We start from the raw sequence: 20,898 nt of genomic DNA on the forward strand, positions 1-20,898 counted from the left end.
GGCACAATCTCGGCTCACTGCAACCTCTGTCTCTCAGGTTCAAGCTATTCTCCTGCCTCAGCCTCCTGAGTAGCTGGGAGCATGTGCCACCATGTCTGGCTAATTTTTGTGTTTTCAGTGGAGACGGGGTTTCTCCATGTTGGTCAGGCTGGTCTTGAACTCCCAACCTCAGGTGATCCGCCCCCTGGGCCTCCCAAAGTGCTGGGATGACAGGTGTGAGCCACTGCACCTGGCCTTAATAGATTCTTAATTAATTGTTTTTATTGTTTGTTTCTTTGGTCTCTAATCTTCTAGTATTTCAGCCTCTTCTTTTGCCACTCTTCAGGTCTGTTTTATTCTCATTCATCTCAGTACTCTTACACATGTTATTCCTCTGAATTTCCCTTTTTCTTCTGATTTTTTTCTAATCCATGGAATTTAATCCAGATATAATCTGGCAGAAAACCTTCCCTGGCCTTTACTCTCTGGTTTAGATGCCTTTAGCATCTAAGGGGCCCAATAGTACCTCATGCTTATTTTATGAGTCATCACACTTATCAAAACTGTATTTTAATTCCTCTCCTACCTTGAGCTGCTTTATAAAAAATCCTGGTAAAATATATGAATGTTAATTCAATTCAATTTTTGACAACTATGAAACGTTTTGTTCTAGTTTTCATTTTGAGAATAAGTGTTGTGAGAAAAGGGGAAACTGGTGTTTGGATGTAGAAAAGAGAAATAAAATAGATGGCAGATGGTTGGACTTTTCAATTAGACCTTATCGGGCAAGATCAGAAAAAATAAAGGAGGTAAAAACAGGCTTCAGAACTGCACTCCAGTGGTATCCTTGAAAAGTGAGCCACGTGTAAAAAGGACAGTGACTTTGTCATGGATTTAACACAAGAAGAGTTAATGCCATGGAACTAAAAATATTGGACCAGAGGTTTGAAAAATACTTAGTTATTCCAATTAGGTTATTTATAGGCAACCTTTTCAGGCATGTACACTACTTTGTATCTCTGAGAGCTCAGTAGAACCTAGGAGCTGGGATCCAAGAGACAAAAAGAAAGTCAGTCTCTAGTCATGAAACTGAAAACCACTGACCAATTAGGAGACCGCACCATGCTCTTACTTTGGATGTTCTCTTCCACAAATCTTTTACCAATTTTTGCTATTATGGTAGCAATAATTAACTATTAAACTAATCTAATTAGCTATTAAACTAGTCTAATTATGACTAGTTTGAGATGCAAAGGATATAATTGGTTTAGTATTTGGTTAGAGTTATGTCTTTGATGCTTGGGTTTAGTAAATAAATATATTGCAAAGACATCATTTAAATTCTAACATTCTCCACTTAGTTTTAAGATTTTCCATTGTAAATAATCTTATAATAGAGGCTTTTGGGAGCCCAATCTCTTTAAATGAAAAGAGATTTTTCTGTAATTATCTGTTTGTATGCCTGCTCTTCTGTCAACTCCCAGCATAATGCACACACACACACACGTGCACACAAATACGTGCACACACACATGCACGAGTAACTTGAAGATGTCTTCATCTTCAAGACACACATGAGTGTGTCTTTTATTTATGGATCCTCAGAATCTATCTCATGTGGTTATTGATAAATGTTGAGATGAGAAAAGGCAGGAAGAGATGGAGGAAGAAATGGCAAAAATTGTTTCTATACTGAGTCTTATAGTGTCATTCTACAATTATAAGCTGGCTCTAATCACCTCATATTTATTCTTAATAATATGGTCTTTTAAAATTTGTTCTGATAAGTCATGCTATTTCTAATTTGTTTTATTTCATACAAAATAATAAAAGTCAACTTCTTACCATTTCTTAACTTGTCTCATGAAAGTGTTCCTTTGGAGAAGTGTCCCTGTCGTGCTTTCTGGTCTGCTTTTAGGTAAGGTCTGACTTCTGCCACTAGAGGCCTGAGAATGTTTTTCTTCTTTTTTTGGCCTCTCTCTGGGGAGGAAGCAGCTTTCAACATATTCTTTCCTTGTGAATTTGTAAAAGTTGAAATCAAGGCATGCTTATTAGTTAGTAATTATAATTCTTATATATACCAATGAGATATAATCATAATACATTTACAAAGAGAAATCATAAAAATGTATGTACTGAAAATCAGTGCCCATATTTCACATATGAGGAAACTGGAATCTAACCTAAACTGCCCAGGATAAAAGGGTAAAACCTGAGTTATAACATTTTAACTGTTGCTAAAAGAAATCATTGAAATAATCTATGGTAGTTGTCTCGTCCCACTTTCTTTTTTATCTTTGTAGATGCGTCTTTATTGAAAGTTTGAATGTTGGTAAAATACTATTATTTGCCTGAGTCAAAGGAGAGACTGTAGATTCAGTGAAGTAAAGAAAATTGTTGGTGTAGGGATTGCCTTTTAAACTAGCTCTCAGTCGCTAGATTTAGAGTGGTTTATATAGTTTTTGACATACAGACATCTCCCTCACTCTGAGACATCTAATTATAAACATGACAAATATTACAGGTGTTCAAATCACAGAGTTTAGGAATGACTAATGGATGACTGGGGAAAATTAGCTGTATTACTGTATTATTTTTCTTCATGAACAGGTCTGTCTACAGTAACAAGTCCAAAATTTGAGACTGTGCTCTATGCCATCCCAAATTCTTTGAATGATTGAAATGGTTCACTAAAATAGATGATTATATCTCAGTATAAAGAAAAAATTAGCTTGTCCCTTGTTGACATAGCTTCAATGTTAGTCTTTTTTTCTGAGGAATTAGCACAGGTACTTCGATTGAAAATAATATAGTTTATATTAGGAACTCACAACCATCTATTTCCAACTCTTGAATTAGTTTGGTAAAAATCTCTACATGTGATTATTTAAAGTAATGTCAATGAAGTAATTTAGATTTATTCAAATTATACTACTTAATGAAGAATAAATTATTGCAGTCAGGCCCATTTTTGTAACATTATTAGGCAATGTTTGCTGTTTGGTGTGGGAGAGTTTGAGGACGCTTGAAGGTGACATTGTTTCTGTTTTCCTGAAAGAATGAAGCTGGAAAACAGTGATATTACTCTACAGATATTAAACTATACATGATTGATTGATTCCAGTCCAGCATTCATTAATTATACTGTATTTATCAGTAACACATTAATAATAAAATTGCTTAGGTTAGAAAAAAATCAACTTCTACTAAAGGTTACAAAGAATGGATTTTAAAAATAACTGTTTATCTAGTTATAAGGTCATTAAAGACAACTAATATAGTTTTGAAAATACAATGACATTAATTAAAATTGCCTGTGTTCCCCCAAAACTGAAATCATCTTGTAACATCTTTCTTAAAAAAGTGTTCTTTTTATTGTTAGTGTAATTATACTGCTGTGTATGTGTACATGTATATATGTATACTCACACATCCAGATAATTATAATTGTGTGTGTAAATATATACTGTTCTGTATCTATCCCACCCTTCTCATGTAATATCATAAGCTTTCTTCTCAATGCTGCACGCATCATATCACAGGAATAGACTATGACCATTCCCCCAGTGTTGGGCATTTTAGTTTTTTTCCAAAGGTCGTGAATTAATAAAATCTTAGAGCTGGAAGGAGACTTAGGGAAGATTTAATCCAGTCCCTTTTCTTTTATAATTAGATTTTTATGGTTAGGACTAAGGTCTAAAAAAGTTAATTGACTGAGAGATTATTTTATTTAGGAAAATAATATAAATGACATAGTTCCAGAAATACTTTTGTCTAAAAAAAAGTGAAAGAAAAATAAACTAAATCAGTCAAGGCACATTCAAAATAGAATAAAAAATGTGCATTAGTAATCTATCATTGGAGTGAGTAATATAACATTTGCTATAAATATTTTTCACATTTTAAAAGGCAAAATAATTGCATATAACATAACTTTTCTAGTTTCTATCATTGTAAGAGGAGGACACACAAAATATGGTATTGCATGAAAACTGGAAAATAAATTTCTAGTCTACTTTCTCTAAAAGTTCTGAGTTAATTTCATGACTGTATAGAGTGAGAACATGTTGAAAAGCAAACCTGGGTTTTAAAATTCTTTCCATTCAGTAGTCTCAGTTATTACAAAGACAATAATACTTTCTCCATTCTAGGATGTAACCACTTGGCATTTAACTTATTTTTCATTTCCTTATATTTGTTCACTACACTACAATTTGTAGACTCCATAGGAGTCTAAATGATAATTTGGTTAGCAAACACCCTTAGGTCTAAAACACATGTTGGTTCTTGAGAGATTTCCCTTCTCCTGTTCTAGTTGTGCAGAGGTGTAATTTTTTAAAATAGATATATCAATGGGCTGTACTTCATTTTCCAAAAGCACTGTGATGGTGAAGCCAAGCCTCTGAAAGATCAAGGCCCAGATCTTCCTCAGGTTTCACTTTAGTTAAGACTGTTGCAGAAGGAGTCCAAAGAATCAGAAATGCTGGAATTTGTCCTGGGCCATGAAGAATATTTCCTTACCAAATGACCCAAAGCTGTCATTGAATGTATGACTTCAAGTATGATCAAACATTGAGCGGGCTGGTTTGTGTTAAAGTCCCATGAGACTACTAAAGAAATGGTTATTTAGTCCAAAGAATCATAAACTATTGGTTTGTCTCAGTTTCTTACAGAGTAAAATTTGAGAGTAAAATTTGATTTTATCAGCTATTAATGCCTACATTTGTCACCTAAGAAAATGGGATTTCTAGTATTAGCTTTTGATTAAAAGACCCCCTACAAATAAATGTATACACTTGCCATATTCCTTCTCTCAAAGTAGCTCTAATCCATACTGAATACTTTTTCTAGACTGATTTTTCCCTAAAATGACATTTGGAAGTAGATTTTGGGAAGTTTCCTCACCTCTCTAAGGTTTGGTTTCCTTATCTGTAAAAAGGACTAATAGTAGTATCTTCTTTATCAGGTTGTTGGTTAAGCAAATGAAGTGGTCAGATCACATTAAATGTCCAATAAATAGCTACATTTATCAAGGACCTACTAGGTATCAAGTACTTTACATAATCATATCATGGCAATAATACCTACCCATTTTTCACACAAAGAAAGTAGAACTTTGAATGGCAACTTAATTAAGAGGTAATGGAGCAAAGATTTAAGCTAGCTTGGTCTGAGTGATTCCATGATCTAAATGCTACATATTTCTTTCTCCATGAAAACCCTTAAAGATAGGGAAGGCATTTGTTTCATAAATAGAAGAATTGAAAAGAACTTGTGGAGTTTCTCTAATGACATGGCAAAAAGCTAAGAAAACAGCAGAAGATCAAATTCTTGCCACTTTCAAAATAAAAGAGCTACCTGGCTCTCACTGGATGAGAGGGACTGAAGACTTGAATTTCTCTCTTTTCCCACTAACCCCTCTCCTGTGTTCCTTACTAACATTTCCAGTTGCCCAGTGGCATTTTCTCTTGAGTGTGCCACTGCTACATTAAGCTCAGTATGTCCCAGTCAGAACTCATCACCTCTTCCACACATTCTCCTTCTTGCCAAATTTTCCTTATTTTTAAGGAGAACACTTCATGCCCATGCAGCCACCCAGACTCTAATTGACAGAGCAAAAGCTTTCTCTCACCCCCACATTTAATTTGTACAAATTGTGTCACTTCTTACCTTTGCTATGTCTTTTTTGGACTTTATTTCCACCTCACTTATTCAGGCCTTCTGTCCCTTATTAAATTAATTGCAACGACCTCTTTCCTGGGGTATTTCTGTTCAGTTTCTACCCCTGTCATTTTGTCCTACATAATATACCGCCAGAAGATGCTTTCCAAATTCCATCTTCTGTCCTATCACTCTCCTGATTAATCATTTCTAACGTCTACCCAATTCTTAAAAAAATAAATTTCAGCTTCCAACAACATACCATTGAGGACTACTTAAAATATACTTTTTTAGATTTGTCTCTTCCTACTACTCCCATTCATGGCCCTGAATCTCTGACCAGCCTGGAATGATCTCACCATTTCTCACATACTCTTTCTCTTTACATTCTTCTCATCATCCCTTTGTTATGCTACTCTTTCTCTGTATTACCATTTTGATTCTGTTCTACCAGGTAAAATCTCATATATGTATTATTCCTAAAGTATTTTATTTCTCTGCATTTCTCCTTGGAGTAAGAATTATTTACTCTTTCTTGTCTAGACTGAAGAGGCAAGATAATAAAGAGAATAAGAGCATGGACTCTGCAGACAGATTGCCAGGGCTCAATCTCTCTTCTCCACCACTTATTAGCCATAAGACCATGTGCAATTTCTTAACATCCGTTTGCCTCAGTTTCTGCATTTTTAAAATAGGGACAATAATGGTACCTGTCTCATAGGTTGGTATGACGATTATATTAAATATAAAGCACTTGGAACAATGCCTAGCTCATATGAAGTGCTACAAGAGGTTGTTACATAAAATAATTAAGAATTGGCTGCAGCAACTGGTTTATACTTACCTTATGACAGGGATCACATTTTACGTCATATTATTTGCATGCATATCTTACCTAAGCCTGCTCACTCCCTCAGCCCTAATTTGAGAATGAGATTTTTGCTTTTTTTTTTCATTGTATTTCCCATAGTGGGGTTTGGCACTTGGTTCTTGAAAAATTCAACTTTCATCTCGGTAGTTGACTAGTCCATTCTCAATAGAATTATTCTAAAATTTGGGCCAGTTTTATCTGATCATTAATTTTTCACATCTCTCCTAGTAGGCTAATTTCAGTTTTTAGAAAACTAAAAAGTCTCATGGAGGATTTTTTCAGTTTAGTGTTTCTTTTTTTTTTTTTTTTTTTTTGAGACGGAGTCTTGCTCTGTCACCCAGGCTGGAGTGCAGTGGTGCGATCTCGCTCACTGCAAGCTCTGCCTCCCAGGTTCATGCCATTTTCCTGCCTCAGCCTCCCGGAGTAGCTGGGACTACAGGCGCCCACCACCACGCCCGGCTAATTTTTTGTATTTTTAGTACAGACGAGGTTTCACCATGTTAGCCAGGATGGTCTCAATCTCCTGACCTCATCATCCACCCGCCTCGGCCTCCCAAAGTGCTGGGATTACGGGCATGAGCCACCGCGCCCGGCCTCAGTTTAGTGTTTCTTTAAGCACACAAAGTCTTACGTTGAGTTTATCAAGAGTTTGTCCCTTTAACACTCAGCAACATGAGTTTCATGATTCTTATATTTTTTGCAAACTGCACCAATAGATAATGATATGGTACCTTTGGAAAGAGTGTTACAGATTGCATCTAATTAAACCATATGGATATCTTTGATCTGGGTATATATTACCCTTACTTAGTAGGTGAGGAAACAGGAGGCAGAGGCACAGGGCAACCAAGTAATGTTGATGGGACTGCTCCAGTGCCTGGGGCCACCAACATGTGGGAACATTTCTCTGTGGCTCTTAACTTCCAGCTTCCAGGATAACATCCAAGATGATACTATCAGGACCACACTGTAAGTTTATGACTGAGCCAGAAACTGAACCAGGTCATGAAATCTTACTAATAAGAACCAGAGAGTTAGAAGAGATTTGGGGAATCATCTTGTTCAATTTTAAATGCGTGAATCCTCTTTAAACAGATTTATGACCTGAGCTTATTTGGGCCTTATTTGAATTCCTCCATTAGGAAACTCATTATCTCTTGAGTCAGCTTACCACATTTTCTCATTGCTAGATAGAGCTTCTTAGTCTCAGGCCATAACTTGTCTTCCTGCAGTTTTCACTCATTTGTGTAAGTTGTTCCCTTAAACTAGATACGATATGTTCCATTGTCTTCCATAAGATGTTTGTTCCTGGTTGAAAAGACAGATTCCGTGCCTTCCGCTGAGTCTTCTTCTCTGGGCCAAAATATGCTTAGTTCTCTAAAACATTTCTGATGTAATTTTTTTTTATATTTTACTTTTTAAAAACACAAAAATTTTATTTTGGGGGGCATACTCAAGTAAGTATATGCACAATACACTTTTTTTGGTTAATGATTAATGGGCTCTATCTTCTTTCCATCTCCATCTTGTTAGGAAGAGAAGCAATGATATGCTCATTCCATCCTTTATCCTTTCTTACTCTCCCTCTGCACCTGCTGCAGCCTCCCTTCACAACCAGTCAACCTCTCTGCCTTTCTGTCTCTGTCTCTCTCATACACACATCCCTCCATACACCCACAGGAATGTCAGTGCCTTGGTTCCTACTCAGGCTAAGAATTACCTAAGCAAGTGTAGTTCATTCTTGCAGATTAGGGGTTATAAAAATAATTTGTCTTTCAGCCACACACACTAGGATTTGAGTTCTAGCATTGCCACTCACTAGTTATGTTTCTCTAACAGAATTATTTCAACTTGATGCACCTCCATTTTTTCAACCTACAAAATTGAAGTTATGATTCTTGTCTCACTGGCCAGTATTGACTGTTAAGTGAAATAGTAAATGTGAGAGTGTGTGGCTCACAATAAATACTCAAGAACTACTGGTTTCTGTTCTGTAGGTCTACATTCTCGACAGCCCACCTACCAGTTTTATTATGGTTTGCTGCATCAAACACATATGTTTGCTTTCAGAACTTAGTCATCCATATTTTTTTAATATAGCAAATCTTCAATGTTCAAAATTAGTATAGCATGTTTGAATTTAAACACTTGTGATTGAAAGAAGTGAAAATCCAAACAATGCTTTGGGCAAGGCAAATGCTATGCGGGAGAAGATCATTAGAAACAGCTTGTCATGTACATGCACAGTGCCCCTTGGCACTGTTTTAAAAGTGGTTTTACATATGGCAAGGGATCTTGTATATTTATCTAGCCAAGCGTATTATTAACGTGTCTTCTTTAGCAGTTTGAATTTGTGCTATACTGTAATTACGCATACATCTCCCCTCTCACAGACTTCTCTTCTGCCTTACTTAGAGGGGAAATTAAGTAAAAAATATATATAAACATATATATTATATATATAATTGTATATAATTAAATATTTTTTCTACCTTTTCCTGTATTTTTCTCCTGTAAAATAAGTGATGTCACTGAACTGCAGTGGGTAAGGGTAAAATCTCATCAGAAAGATGTCTTGTCTTTGTCACCAAAAGTTTCTCAACCTCACCCGCATTAACAGCCACTGCCCCTGGCTGTTCTGTCTCCATCATAGCTCCCATGCACCATGTACTTTCAATTCTGAGGTCAGCTAGGGGCGCTTGGTGTGGCTATACTAACTCCCAAGTCCAGCTTCTCTGCACTAATATACCTGGATTCCAAAAGTAAATACTGAAAGGGAACACCTTTTTGAGGGCAAAAACCACTTGCACATTATCTTTCCCCATTCATCTTCTCTAATGAACACAAACACGGTCTTGCTTTTGACAATGACTTACTGATTTTCCCATATCTCCTGAACATGCCCTTCAACTTGTCCTCCATATTGGAGTAGACTAATTTTGGAAAAATACAAACTTATCAGTATTCATGTCCCTGTTTAAAGGTCTTTAGTAACTTCCCGTTTGTCTTCTGGTACAAAGACAAATCTTTCTATGACTGACAAGGTTCTGCATGGTCTGACTCTTGCCTGTTTTCCTAGTCTCACTTCTACCATTCTCCACATTGCCACATTTTACCTCAAATACACCATGTTTCTCTTTTCTAAGGCAACATGCATTTTCTTCTAGTTCACATTCTCACCCACTCTCCCTCTTTCTGGTTAATTCTGACTCATCCTACACAGGAAGGGAATCCTTACTCAAACTCCTTCAGGTTCTTTTGCCTCAGAATACTCACTTCAGGTTTTAATTATGTTAAACCTATTAATACCTGTCTTCTCTACTAGATTGTAAGCCTTTTGAGAATGGGAACTGGGTCTGGTTTTGGTCACCAATGATATCCCCAGTACCTAGCATGGTGCCTTACATGTCCTTAGCTATTGAATTGTTAAATAAAAGTAGGTGCTGCTAGGGTAAGGGAGGAATATTAAATGGGGTTTGACCATTAACTGTTCTAAAATTGTAGGTAAATTTGGTAAAGAAAGCTATTATTTCAAAATTAATTTACTAAAAGTTTTTAAGAACTGTGGGAACTTTTTAACCTAGTACTTAAATGATTTTTCTCATGTTCCCAACCCCCCACCCCCGGCACTTAATAAAAGAATAAAGAGGAAGGAACGTGTTCTACAAATACTTTATTTATATTAATTTTCTTTTATTTGATATATGTTATTACCTTAAAAATATAGTTCCTTGAGAATGAAGGGTTAAATTAGGTTTTAAAATGCCAAATAAGTAGAAATTTTAATGATAAGGTCAAATATATGTAAACCTGGTCTCTATTAGTAGGAATTTCTAACTTTAGTAAGTCCTAACATAAGGACATGAAAATGAGATATTGTATTTTTGCTGCTGTGTTGAAAAGATAAATAAATCAAATTTTATGGTTAAAAGGAGTTTCACAGCCAATTTTGCTATTCTCCCCACCACCACTTCATCCCAATGATTTTCCATAAGGGTTAATATGCTAGATATGTTATGAACAGCTGACAATTACATATCATGTAACTATTGATTTTTTTAATAATAAATTTTATTTTGTATATATGAGGTTTACAACGTGATGCTATGGGATACATAAAAATAAAAGATGGTTACAATAGTGAAACAGATTAACATATCTGTCATCTCACATAGAAGTTATAGATTTTTAATTTTCATTTGGAGCCCCTCTGGGATGTTATTACTGATGGCCTTCAGAGCAAGTGTGTGTCTGGGCTGTTAGCCAAGGATTTAAGTTGGTGACTAGGTTTATTAAGGAGAAAATGGGTCCCTTAGGATTGTTCAAGGTATATCAACACCAAGCTTAAAACTAGAGTCAGGAAGCTGTTGAAGGCCAAGGTACTTGGCCTGCTGCTTCATTTCCACCAGAGTTCTGAAGGGTATAGCCAGCCCTGGGTTATGTTGGAGTTGTAAAGTGACACTTAAAAGCTCATGGTCAGGTGAATCTCAGGAAAAACGAGACCTTGCAGTCTGCTATTCGTTTCCAGAAGATTGAAGAGCACAATTCATCAAAGTACTGACAAAGGCTTGAGTGTTGAAATACCTCTTTGTGAATGAAAGAAGAGAAGTTAAGCACTAATTACCAAAGACCATTTGCCCCCTTAAACCTTGAGGGAGGAGGAAAAAAAACAGGATTGTGTAACACAGAGATGAGTGGTTAGAACTACTCAAAAAAAAAATTATTGCCGTCACTGAAATTGCTTAGTCATTGTTTTATATCCAAGAACAGTCAACTGTGAGTTGGTACAAAAGCATTATCATATTTAATATAATGCTAGCAATGAATTAGAAGGAAGTTGAGAGATCTTCTAGTCAAGTCTGTCTTATAGGAAAGAACATAAGTGGATTAGCAATTTTCAAACAATGTATAGGGATTTCTGATTACTGTTATGTATATATTTATTGGTTTTACATTCTTCTGATTCTTTCAACATCAGACCAACATCTTTGATGGCTAGGATTGCAGTCTGAGCTCCAGGAGCAGGACGCTACTCCTTGGTGACTTCATACCCTTCTTAAAGTATGTCACAAATTGTCCTCCCCACATCAACTATTATTGCACTTCCTGCTTAGTGTTGTGCTGTATTTTGGTCTGGTCTGTCTCAAGTACTTACTAGCATTCCTGGAACCAAGTTTGTTCATCCATAAATCCCACGTTTTACAGTGATTGTCAGGTTATTGGTGGCAAATAATTATACTTTGGTGAGAAAATAAGTGGTAAAAAAGTGGTCTGTGCCTTTCTACTCAGTGACTTTTAGAGGATTTTACTGATGAGTAGAAATGTTGCTTTCCTTCATTCTTCTTAGTATTTTAATATAGATTAATTAAATAATGAAAATCCATTTGTTAAAGAGTTAAGGTCTTGAGGGTGAAGAGTCTACAGCAGGACCTAGGAGGTAGAAGGAGGTATAGTACCCTATATATTTAAAAGTTTGCTTTTGTCACATATGTTTTCATTAAGAGACCTGTACAATTTTATATTATGATTTATCACCCCCAAGTGTCTAAATTTTAATTTAAAATTTTATACTTAGGGGTATAGAAACAGATAAAGATAAAACAGAGATGTATAGTTATCTACTCTTACAGTTTTGGCCTGCCAGGCAAAAAGTTACAGGAATTATTAATAGAGATCTCTGAAGTGTTTATGAGACTAGTTTGTGATATATTTAATAAATACCTTAGATATGAAGTAACTAATGAAAAATTAGAACTTAGGAAATAGAACTAAAATTATTTATCACTGTCTTAATAGCACCTTATTAAACAATGACTAAATACATATTTGTATCCTTGTATTTTACAGCATATATTTTAAAAAAATTATCACATATTACTTCTTAAGGTTTCACTAGGAGAAAATGTGATTATTTCTAGCTTACTGTATTTATTTGCCTTATGCAATCTTTGTCTATTTCTGTGTGGTTTCACCACTTAAGGATCTACTCCGCAGTGCTCTACTCACATTCCACAAACCTGATTCATGTTGTTTTCTAACATTGAACCGATCTGAGGAGGCAAACTTTAGAAGTAGTACTCATTACCTTAGATGCTCTCTATAGTGGTTTACCAAGGGGAGCTTGAGATATGGGCATACTGCCAGGTGTTGAACCAAAGCAATTTTGGCTACAACTGATTTGTGGTTTAATCTTTGTAAATGTACTTAACTTTGGTCTAAGTTTTAGGAAGTCACTGCAATTCAATGGAGCCAAATGTGTAAGTGCCTAAAGACAATGACTTTACTGCATGTGTTTTGTCAGTTGGATTTTTTTTTCTTAGATAGTGAAAGTTATGAGTCCTTTGTATAATTTATGTTACAGCATGATAGGAAGGCAGTTATATCGCTGTTAAAATAATTATTTATTGCTTATTCCACCAGCCCAGGAACAATGCACAGTCTATAAAAGCAGATTCTCAATGCTGGTTTCTGACAAATAGTATTCCATTACATTCTAATATAATAGTATGGACCATTATATTCCATAATCTCCTGCTTTGAAGATCAGTATTGTTATAAGAAAGAAAGAGAGGGGAGAAGTATATTATATATGAGTGTGTATGTGTATGTATTACAAAAATTAACTGTTCGTATAAGTAACAAAGTATAACTTTATTACACCACAAATACTAGGACAAATGGGTGCTACTTAAAGCTCGAAATGGGTGATTTTCAGGCAAATAAAATAAAACCGTATTTTACTACACAGTGAGTAAAATACATGGAGATTGTTACTATATGCATACATATATGCAAACAATTTAAATCTATAAATAGGCATGAGGAAAACATATATATTTTTCTCAATTCAACAATATTATTTCTGAATCCAATTTGGTCAGGATTTATCTTCTCCCTCCTGCCAGAGATAATTTCAAATATCTTTTTCACTTTTTGCAAGTAATGGGTTTTCACTCTAGTATTATTCTTGATTGGGTGAAAGCATTTTTTTCCTACCTAATAATTTTCTATGTGTATGAAGAGGAATGAGTTTTAGCTCCATTTCTTGTCTTAATCCTGCAGTCTGGAAAATTGATTTATAGTTAGATATCTTTAAACACAATCTGTTACAGTAAAGTAATTTGCTCCCGTCATGAAGTTTACATAAAAATGGTAACATCCTACTGTGTGTTTATACACGTACACAAATCACAAGTCAGTGAATGTAAAACCATCTTCTGATCAGTTCTTAAAAATGCATACTTGTAAGATTTTGTCTTTACTCATGGTAAAAATATATAAACTGTGTATAGAGTTCTCCTCTTGTTTTTATTTATTTAAGCCACTGTATACAACTCTGAACTGAAAGGCCAAATACTCCCTTTCATCTCTGCTCAGTGCAATTGTCCTGAAACTGCATTACTTTATAACATTAGGGAAAAACATAGTATTTGAAAAAATAAAAACATTTAGAAATAAATGTTTAGCAGAGATATTACTATTTCATCTAAGGGTACATATGAGAGGAAAAGCCTCATAAAATGTAAAATCAGAAATTATATAAAATAGTGAAGTACAGCTTAGGGGTCAAATCAATATTGTTATGTTCAAGTAGGAAACAACCATTTTTTGTTTGAAGAGCAGGCAATAAAAAAATTCAGCCTATTTGAACTACTGTTCTATTAATGTGTCAATTTTAAATAAGCATCAATCTTTGTATCTATGTATTCTAGTTTTTAATGCATATTTAACTTTAACACTATGTAATTATGTCAACTTGTATGGAATATATTTATAGTACTTAAGTACAAGAAATATGAACACGGTGGATCACAGTTTAGCAGTATTCCAGAACCTTCTATGAAGAGTCTCTAGAAAAACTGTAAATTTCTTTTCTCTAGGAAAAACTGATGAGAGGTCAGTTGGTACATGCTGAATGTTTATTAGACAAAGCTTTCCATTTCTCTCTTTCAGAGAAGACAATTTTAATATAACTCAAAATGCTTTTTTAAATTTTAGATTGAATGTATTTTACTATTCTGGGAACTTCTCATCTTAAAAAAAAACAAAACAAGTTTCTTATCATCCAGAATAGAGGAAGGTGCATCTAGAATAAACATTTAGAAAATACTTTAAAAATGGGTATGAATTTTAAGCCAAAGCCTTCTCGAGACCATGATTGTGGATCCTAGTTTTGGAAATGAGAGTTCTGTCCATCTCAAAGTGATAGCAGTCACTTGGAAAGAAGATCTATTGACCTCTGACATAAGATTGTTTCCTATACTTTGGAATTAAACATCTCAGTAAACCGACGCTGAAGAAAGAGATCCATTTACAGAAAGTGGTAAATTAGTCAAACCTGTAGTAGTCCTCCCCACGATTTGTTTTTCTTAGTTTTTTTTTTTTTTTCATCATTCTGCTATACGTATAATTCAGGCTGTAATTTAGGAAATACAATGCTACTTGCCACTAGCCATCCTGAAAGTGAAATATAGTATCCTGGTCAGAGCCCTATTTCCCTAATGGTGATTAAAACTGGGCAGAAAGCCCAATGTAATAAAACAGTCTCCAAGCTTTTTCACCAACCTTGGTCTGGGAAAAGCAACATTAGAGGTTTTATGTCTTGAAAAATATACGACGTCCATATGATTAAGTGCTCTTCATTTTCTTCTCAACCACAGGGTGCACATTCAGGCCTTAATTGTGCCAGCTGTTCTCTTAACCCATCACCTAAATATTGCTTTTGAATATAATCCGTCTTGACACAAAGCCTTTTAAGTTTTCTTTATTACAATTGATCTTTCTTATACTAAATTAAACTTCATTTTCTCATTTGAGAAAAGTGAGCTCTTTGGAAAAAAAATAAAAACAGATTTTTTTATTCTGCACATGTAAAGGCAATTCCTTTTTCCTGTCCTAATTGAATTCAGTTAAGCATTCAAAACCTTCATCACAAAGATTGGCTGAGCTATTTTTCTTTTTAAACAAGGCCAAGTTTTGTTGGCACCCATGACGAAGACCATACTGTGAGAGGGCAGGCTGCCAGCAGGTTTAACATTCAAGTCCAGAGTTTGATGACGTCTTCCCCAAGCTTCATCAAGAGTCTTGCAACAGAGCCACCTTGCAGGCCATTGGTGTGCGTACTGCACAAGTGTTAGTTTCTGTGCTTTTCAGAAGATTTGGAAACAATGAAAGTGATCCATTCACTTTTTCATATACAAAAAATTAACGATGGAATTGGGGAAGCTGAGTGAAGGGTATGCCATAGCCTGGGCCACTTTGTAACTGCTTGTCAATCTTAAACTATTTCAAAAGAAAATGTTATATTGAAAAAAAAGCCACAAAAATGAAATATGAAGAAGTCAAACTGTAGTACATAAATATGGCTCTATTAAAAAAAATTAAAAATAATGACAATAAAGAATACATCATGATTTTTTTTTCTTTCCATTGCTTTAGCCACATGTGTGAAAGGTTCATGCTATTCCTAAAACCCTTTACAATTGTCTTTAGTGGAGGGCACAATAAAGAACATTAGGCTATTCTTTAACCAAAGGGAAATAATTTTAAATGGATATTTAAGTCTGTCTTAATCTCTACCTATGCTTTCTTCTCTTCCCCCTACCTCTCTCTCCCCTTCTCTGCATCCCTTCTAACATTTTTCCTTCTTTGTCTCTCCACTCTGACAGTTCTGATGTTGAAAATACTAAAGGTTGGGTATGGTGGCTCACGCCTATAATCCTGGTTACTCTGGAGGTTAAAATGGGAGGATCACTTGAGCCCAGAAGTTCAAGACCAGCCTGGGCAACACAAGTGAGGCCTCCTCTATACAAAATATTAAAAAAAAAAAAAAAGCCAGGTGTGGTGGTGCATGCCTGTAGTCCCAGCTACTGCGGAGGCTGAGGTGTGAGGATGGCTTGAGCCTGGGAGATTGAGACTGCAGTGAGCTGTGATAGGGCTACTGCACTCCAGCCTGGGGAACAGAGCGAGACTCTGTCTCAAAAAATAAAATAAAGATACTAAAAATACTGGTAGATTACTCTTATTCTATTGTATTAAGAAAGTGCTACTTGGGCTAAAGTTTTGTAGCACCTGATTAGGATCAGTTAGGTGTGGGGAAAATAGAATGAAAAACAAACAAACAAAAAATTCTGGTAAACACGTCATTATTGCTAGTTACCTGTAAGAGAATGACATCAATTTTAGTGGTTAGGAACCCAGCCTCTGAAATCAAGCAGTCCAGTTTAAAATCCCTATCATGCTATCTCCTGTGACCCTTAGCAAGTGACTCTCTGTGCCTGATGTCCTTATCTTTAAAATGGAGATAACCATAATATTATCTACCTCATACATTTATTTTAAAAACTATGTGAGTTAACGCATCCAAAGAATTCCCAGCATAGAGCAGCACTCAGTGATTATTAGCTTAATTATCTAATTGAAGACAAATGTTTACTACTGCCAAGTTGAAAATGTATCTGGATATTTGAAATACAATTTACAAAACCTCACTATAGAAGAACGTGAAACAGGAGCAGTAAGAGATAACATAGTTGTGTCATGGACACCCAGCACATCACAGCTGCTGCGACTCTCCTGTTGCAGAGTCCACTTTCTAAATATATGTAGGGCAGGCATACATAAATAATTTAGGTTTTTGATGTTTATCATACATTATTAAAATACCAACTTCTAGTGACTGCTATCTTCAACTCACTATAAGGTTCCGCATTTTTATTTTGTTGATATGTCTCCCATTTCCACTCTAGATTTAATTATCTAAATAGAAATGTTTTAATTGATGTCTTGTGATATTTGTTTTAAATTTGAAGGAAATTGCCCGTATTTTCATCAGACATTCTCCCTCTAATGAAATAGGATGGAATTAAATAGGCTGTATAGATTCTTCCAGGGTTTGAAACAACTTTTTTAAAAGGTGTCTAACATTTACCCAGTCACACAGTTTTATTGGCCTGCCTTCATTTAAGTAGTTTTATTTGTTGAGAATCAATTAAGAAACTGTTTTAAACAATGAATAAAGTAAATATTCATTTCTAATGTGTTAGCCTATGTGTATTCATTTTCAAATTACAAAAGCAAGTGATTTTTTTTCTTCCAGAGTTGGACTTCAGTAAACATGGAGTATTTTCTACCATGGAAAATACATTGGTTTCTCTTTTAAGATTGATCAATTTTTTCCTTATATGGTTGTGCAAAAAACATATATCTCTCCTTTTCATAAGGTTCTGTATTTAATTAAAATTAACAAAAGAAGGGATTTTGTGGGGTTTTGTTGAAATTGGCATAGGAACCTGCTGAAATATTAATACTCTGCATCACTTATATAAAATTTCATTACCAGAACTTCACTGACATTTACATTAGTCTATTAATGCAATTATATTTTGTCATATTACTATTTGCTTAATAGATAGGAACTATGATAATAAAGATACATTTTTGATCAATTGTCTAGGGCTAGGCAGTAAGTAAAGAATGAGCTGGAAATCGGAAATTCACAATAACATGGTAGTTAGATTTGCTTCATTAATTTCTAAATCTTATAGTAACAATGTTGATTTCAGCATTCTCAGAACCAAAGGCGAGATATATGAATAAGCCAACAAATTATAGAAAAATTCAGAGATTCTGTAATTAAATGCAGTGTACCTGACCCCTGGCTTGAGATAGAAAATAGCACAATTTTGAACTACATAAAACAATATTTTTAGTCCTGTGTTTATTACCAAAAATAAAAGTGTCAAATAAAAATTTAAAGTTTTTAAATTACATTTTAAAAGACTTGGTAAATTATAACTTTCTTCAGCCTTAGCAGATATAATAGCCGAACATTTCAACTGTTTTCAAATTATGCATCAAAATAAAATTGAGTTGCTAGTAGAAAGCTCAAATGGTTTTGCACAACTGAGCCTATAAATGTGTTTTATTGCTGCTGTTTCCCATGTTTTACTTAAATAAGTCACATCAATTTGTTTAATTAAAATGTGACAGTTTGAGCTGCATTTGACATTTTTCACAATTTTCCTCATCATTCCTTACCTAATAATGTACATACTCAAATAGCTGATAGGCTTCTAGCTAAATATGCACATTGACTAAGAGTAGTTAATATGAAATCAGTAGACTGTCACTGTGTCAAAGAGGGAGAGCTTGATAATGTTCTGCCAAGGATGAGGGTCTTTCTTAGGAGAGTGACAAATAGAACTTTAGAATATAATAATGTAGTCTACTAGACTAGTAGACTCCACTTAGTACTATACCCTTTAGCTTTATTAACTGGGACTTTTTATTCCATTCGGAGGGAAACTATTAGGTTCTAGTTTACACAAGGAACAATAAGGCCATTGTACACTTTTTGTTCTTACACATTTAATTTTGAATAGTGTTGAATTTCTGGCTGAGTCTGTGGATACGTGGAAAAAATATTTAAAGATGATTACAAGCTAGCATTACTTTATTTGTTGTTGGAATCACATTGTTTTCCTTAGTAACTTGCAATTAAGATGATCTAAAGTTTGTTTGTTTGTTTGTTTGTTTGTTTTCTTTACTACATACTGTATGTTCTAGTCCATGAGCAGGATTTGCCAAACATGATGCTGCTTTATGTATCAGTCATTTTGTGTTGTTTGAGGTTAATAATAAGATTTGATATCAGTATTTATCTATAATAATCAGGCTCTTTCACCTGTAAATAGAAAAAATTTTAAAGAGTTTAGACGAAAATATTAATGCATATACGATATAAAAAGTCCAGAAGTCCTGTTGGTATAGGGATGGCAGGAACCAGGTTTACCATTGTAATCATTAGCTTAGTCTTGTTCTTCCTTCTTTCTCTTTCTCTTTCTCACTCTCCATCCCATTGTTTCCCTCCCTCCCACTCTTCGTCTCATTTTCTCTCCATTTCCCTGCTCTGCTTCATCTGGAAATGCTGGGTTCATCATAAGGCTCTTACTCCATGGTGAAAAGAGGTACCAGTACCTTCGAGGTTACAAGATTGTTACATGTAGTTAACTGAGAGGAAAAGAGACCATCTCCTGTACAGCCTTCACGTATCAGGGAAGACTCTTTTTGGCTTGTGTTACAAACTGAATTTCCGTGAGACTGACTCTGACACAGAGTGTAGCTTACTGAATGTTTCCTGGGATAAATGTCCATGGAAGGGAAGGAGAAGGAAACAGGAATGGGCAGAGGGAGAACTTGAGCTGCTTTGCAACCCAGTGACAACATCTCCCAACAGAAGAATGCTTTTCAGCTTGCCTCCTATTGGGTGAAGATGGTTCAGCCTTCATACTCCTGCATTGATCCATCACTGGATGTGGGCTACCCAGGTAAAGGAAGGCAATCTCTGAAGGGGCCCAACTACTGAGCTTTCTCTACTGACAGTAACTTCCTGTGGCTAGGACATTGTTTCATTGATGGGGGACTGGGCGGTACACCAAAGTGCCACTCCATCCTAATATGGCCTGAATTCCTAGCTGTCAACCAATCAATGTCCCCAAGAAATGGAGTCCATGGATTGACCTATACTATCCTATGGCTGAGGCTGGGGTAGGATTGGACTGTGTGTGGTCAACCACATCTAAATCACATAAAATTGGCTCCCCACAAAAAAAGATGAATTTGACTGCAGATGAAGGAAGGGAAATGCTGAACTGAGATATACATGACAACCTCTGCCTTAGGTCACTTAACTATGAAGCCAGCTTGTCTTTAGGTTTCTGAATAAAGGGAATTATGATAGTAGAATACATTTTTATTCAGAACATAGAATTTGGATATGTTTTATCCCTAAACCTCTCTTCTTCTGTGTTATTGAGCATGTATTAGCTCACCACGTAGCATACATGAAAGGACAGCCAGCTTCCACAAACTTCTGTTCATATAGAGTTGATGATGTTACAGTTATTTGTGAGTTAAAATACACGAGCATTCTCTTCATTTATTTCAGAATAATGTATTCCTATGTGTATGTATACATTGATTTTACCGTGGAACTTCTTTTTTTTTAAGTAGAACATCTTAGAAGAGAATGCACACTAGGAAAAGCTGGGATGATTAGACCAAAATCTCAAAGACAGCAGTAGAATCAGTGTTGACACTTCACTATTCTTACTTAAAAAGTATTATTTGTAGTTCTGTTGTAGAGACTGATCATGTGTCTTAGCTCTCTTACTAAATAGTAACTCTCTGAGGGCAGAGTGCTATGCTTGCTTTCTATCTCATACAGTATAGATATCCAACATTACACAATATAGACATGAAAAAATGTTTGCATAAATGACTGTCAGTAAGTTAACTGTGCTGATTTAAAAAAAACTCACAGTCATCATGAGAATTAAGGTTAAAATTCAGTGAAATAATGTCACCATCAGAAATCCAATGTCAGC

General features: G+C 35.1%; 1 protein-coding gene across 35 annotated transcripts in view; it reads left to right on the plus strand.

Moving 5' to 3' along the window:
- MAP2 (microtubule associated protein 2) overlaps positions 1-20,898 on the plus strand; it is a 310,066-nt gene that overhangs the window by 37,467 nt on the left and 251,701 nt on the right. The window contains exon 2 of one of the 35 annotated variants that reach the window (NM_001375493.1): positions 19,749-19,839. The exons of the other annotated variants lie outside the window; for them this stretch is intronic. The gene's annotated coding sequence lies outside the window, so the exon portion shown is untranslated. The remainder of the gene's footprint in view (positions 1-19,748; positions 19,840-20,898) is intronic. 35 annotated transcript variants of the gene reach the window in all.

The sequence above is a fragment of the Homo sapiens genome, chromosome 2, assembly GCF_000001405.40.
Source record: "Homo sapiens chromosome 2, GRCh38.p14 Primary Assembly".
In the NCBI taxonomy this organism is placed as follows: domain Eukaryota; kingdom Metazoa; phylum Chordata; class Mammalia; order Primates; family Hominidae; genus Homo; species Homo sapiens.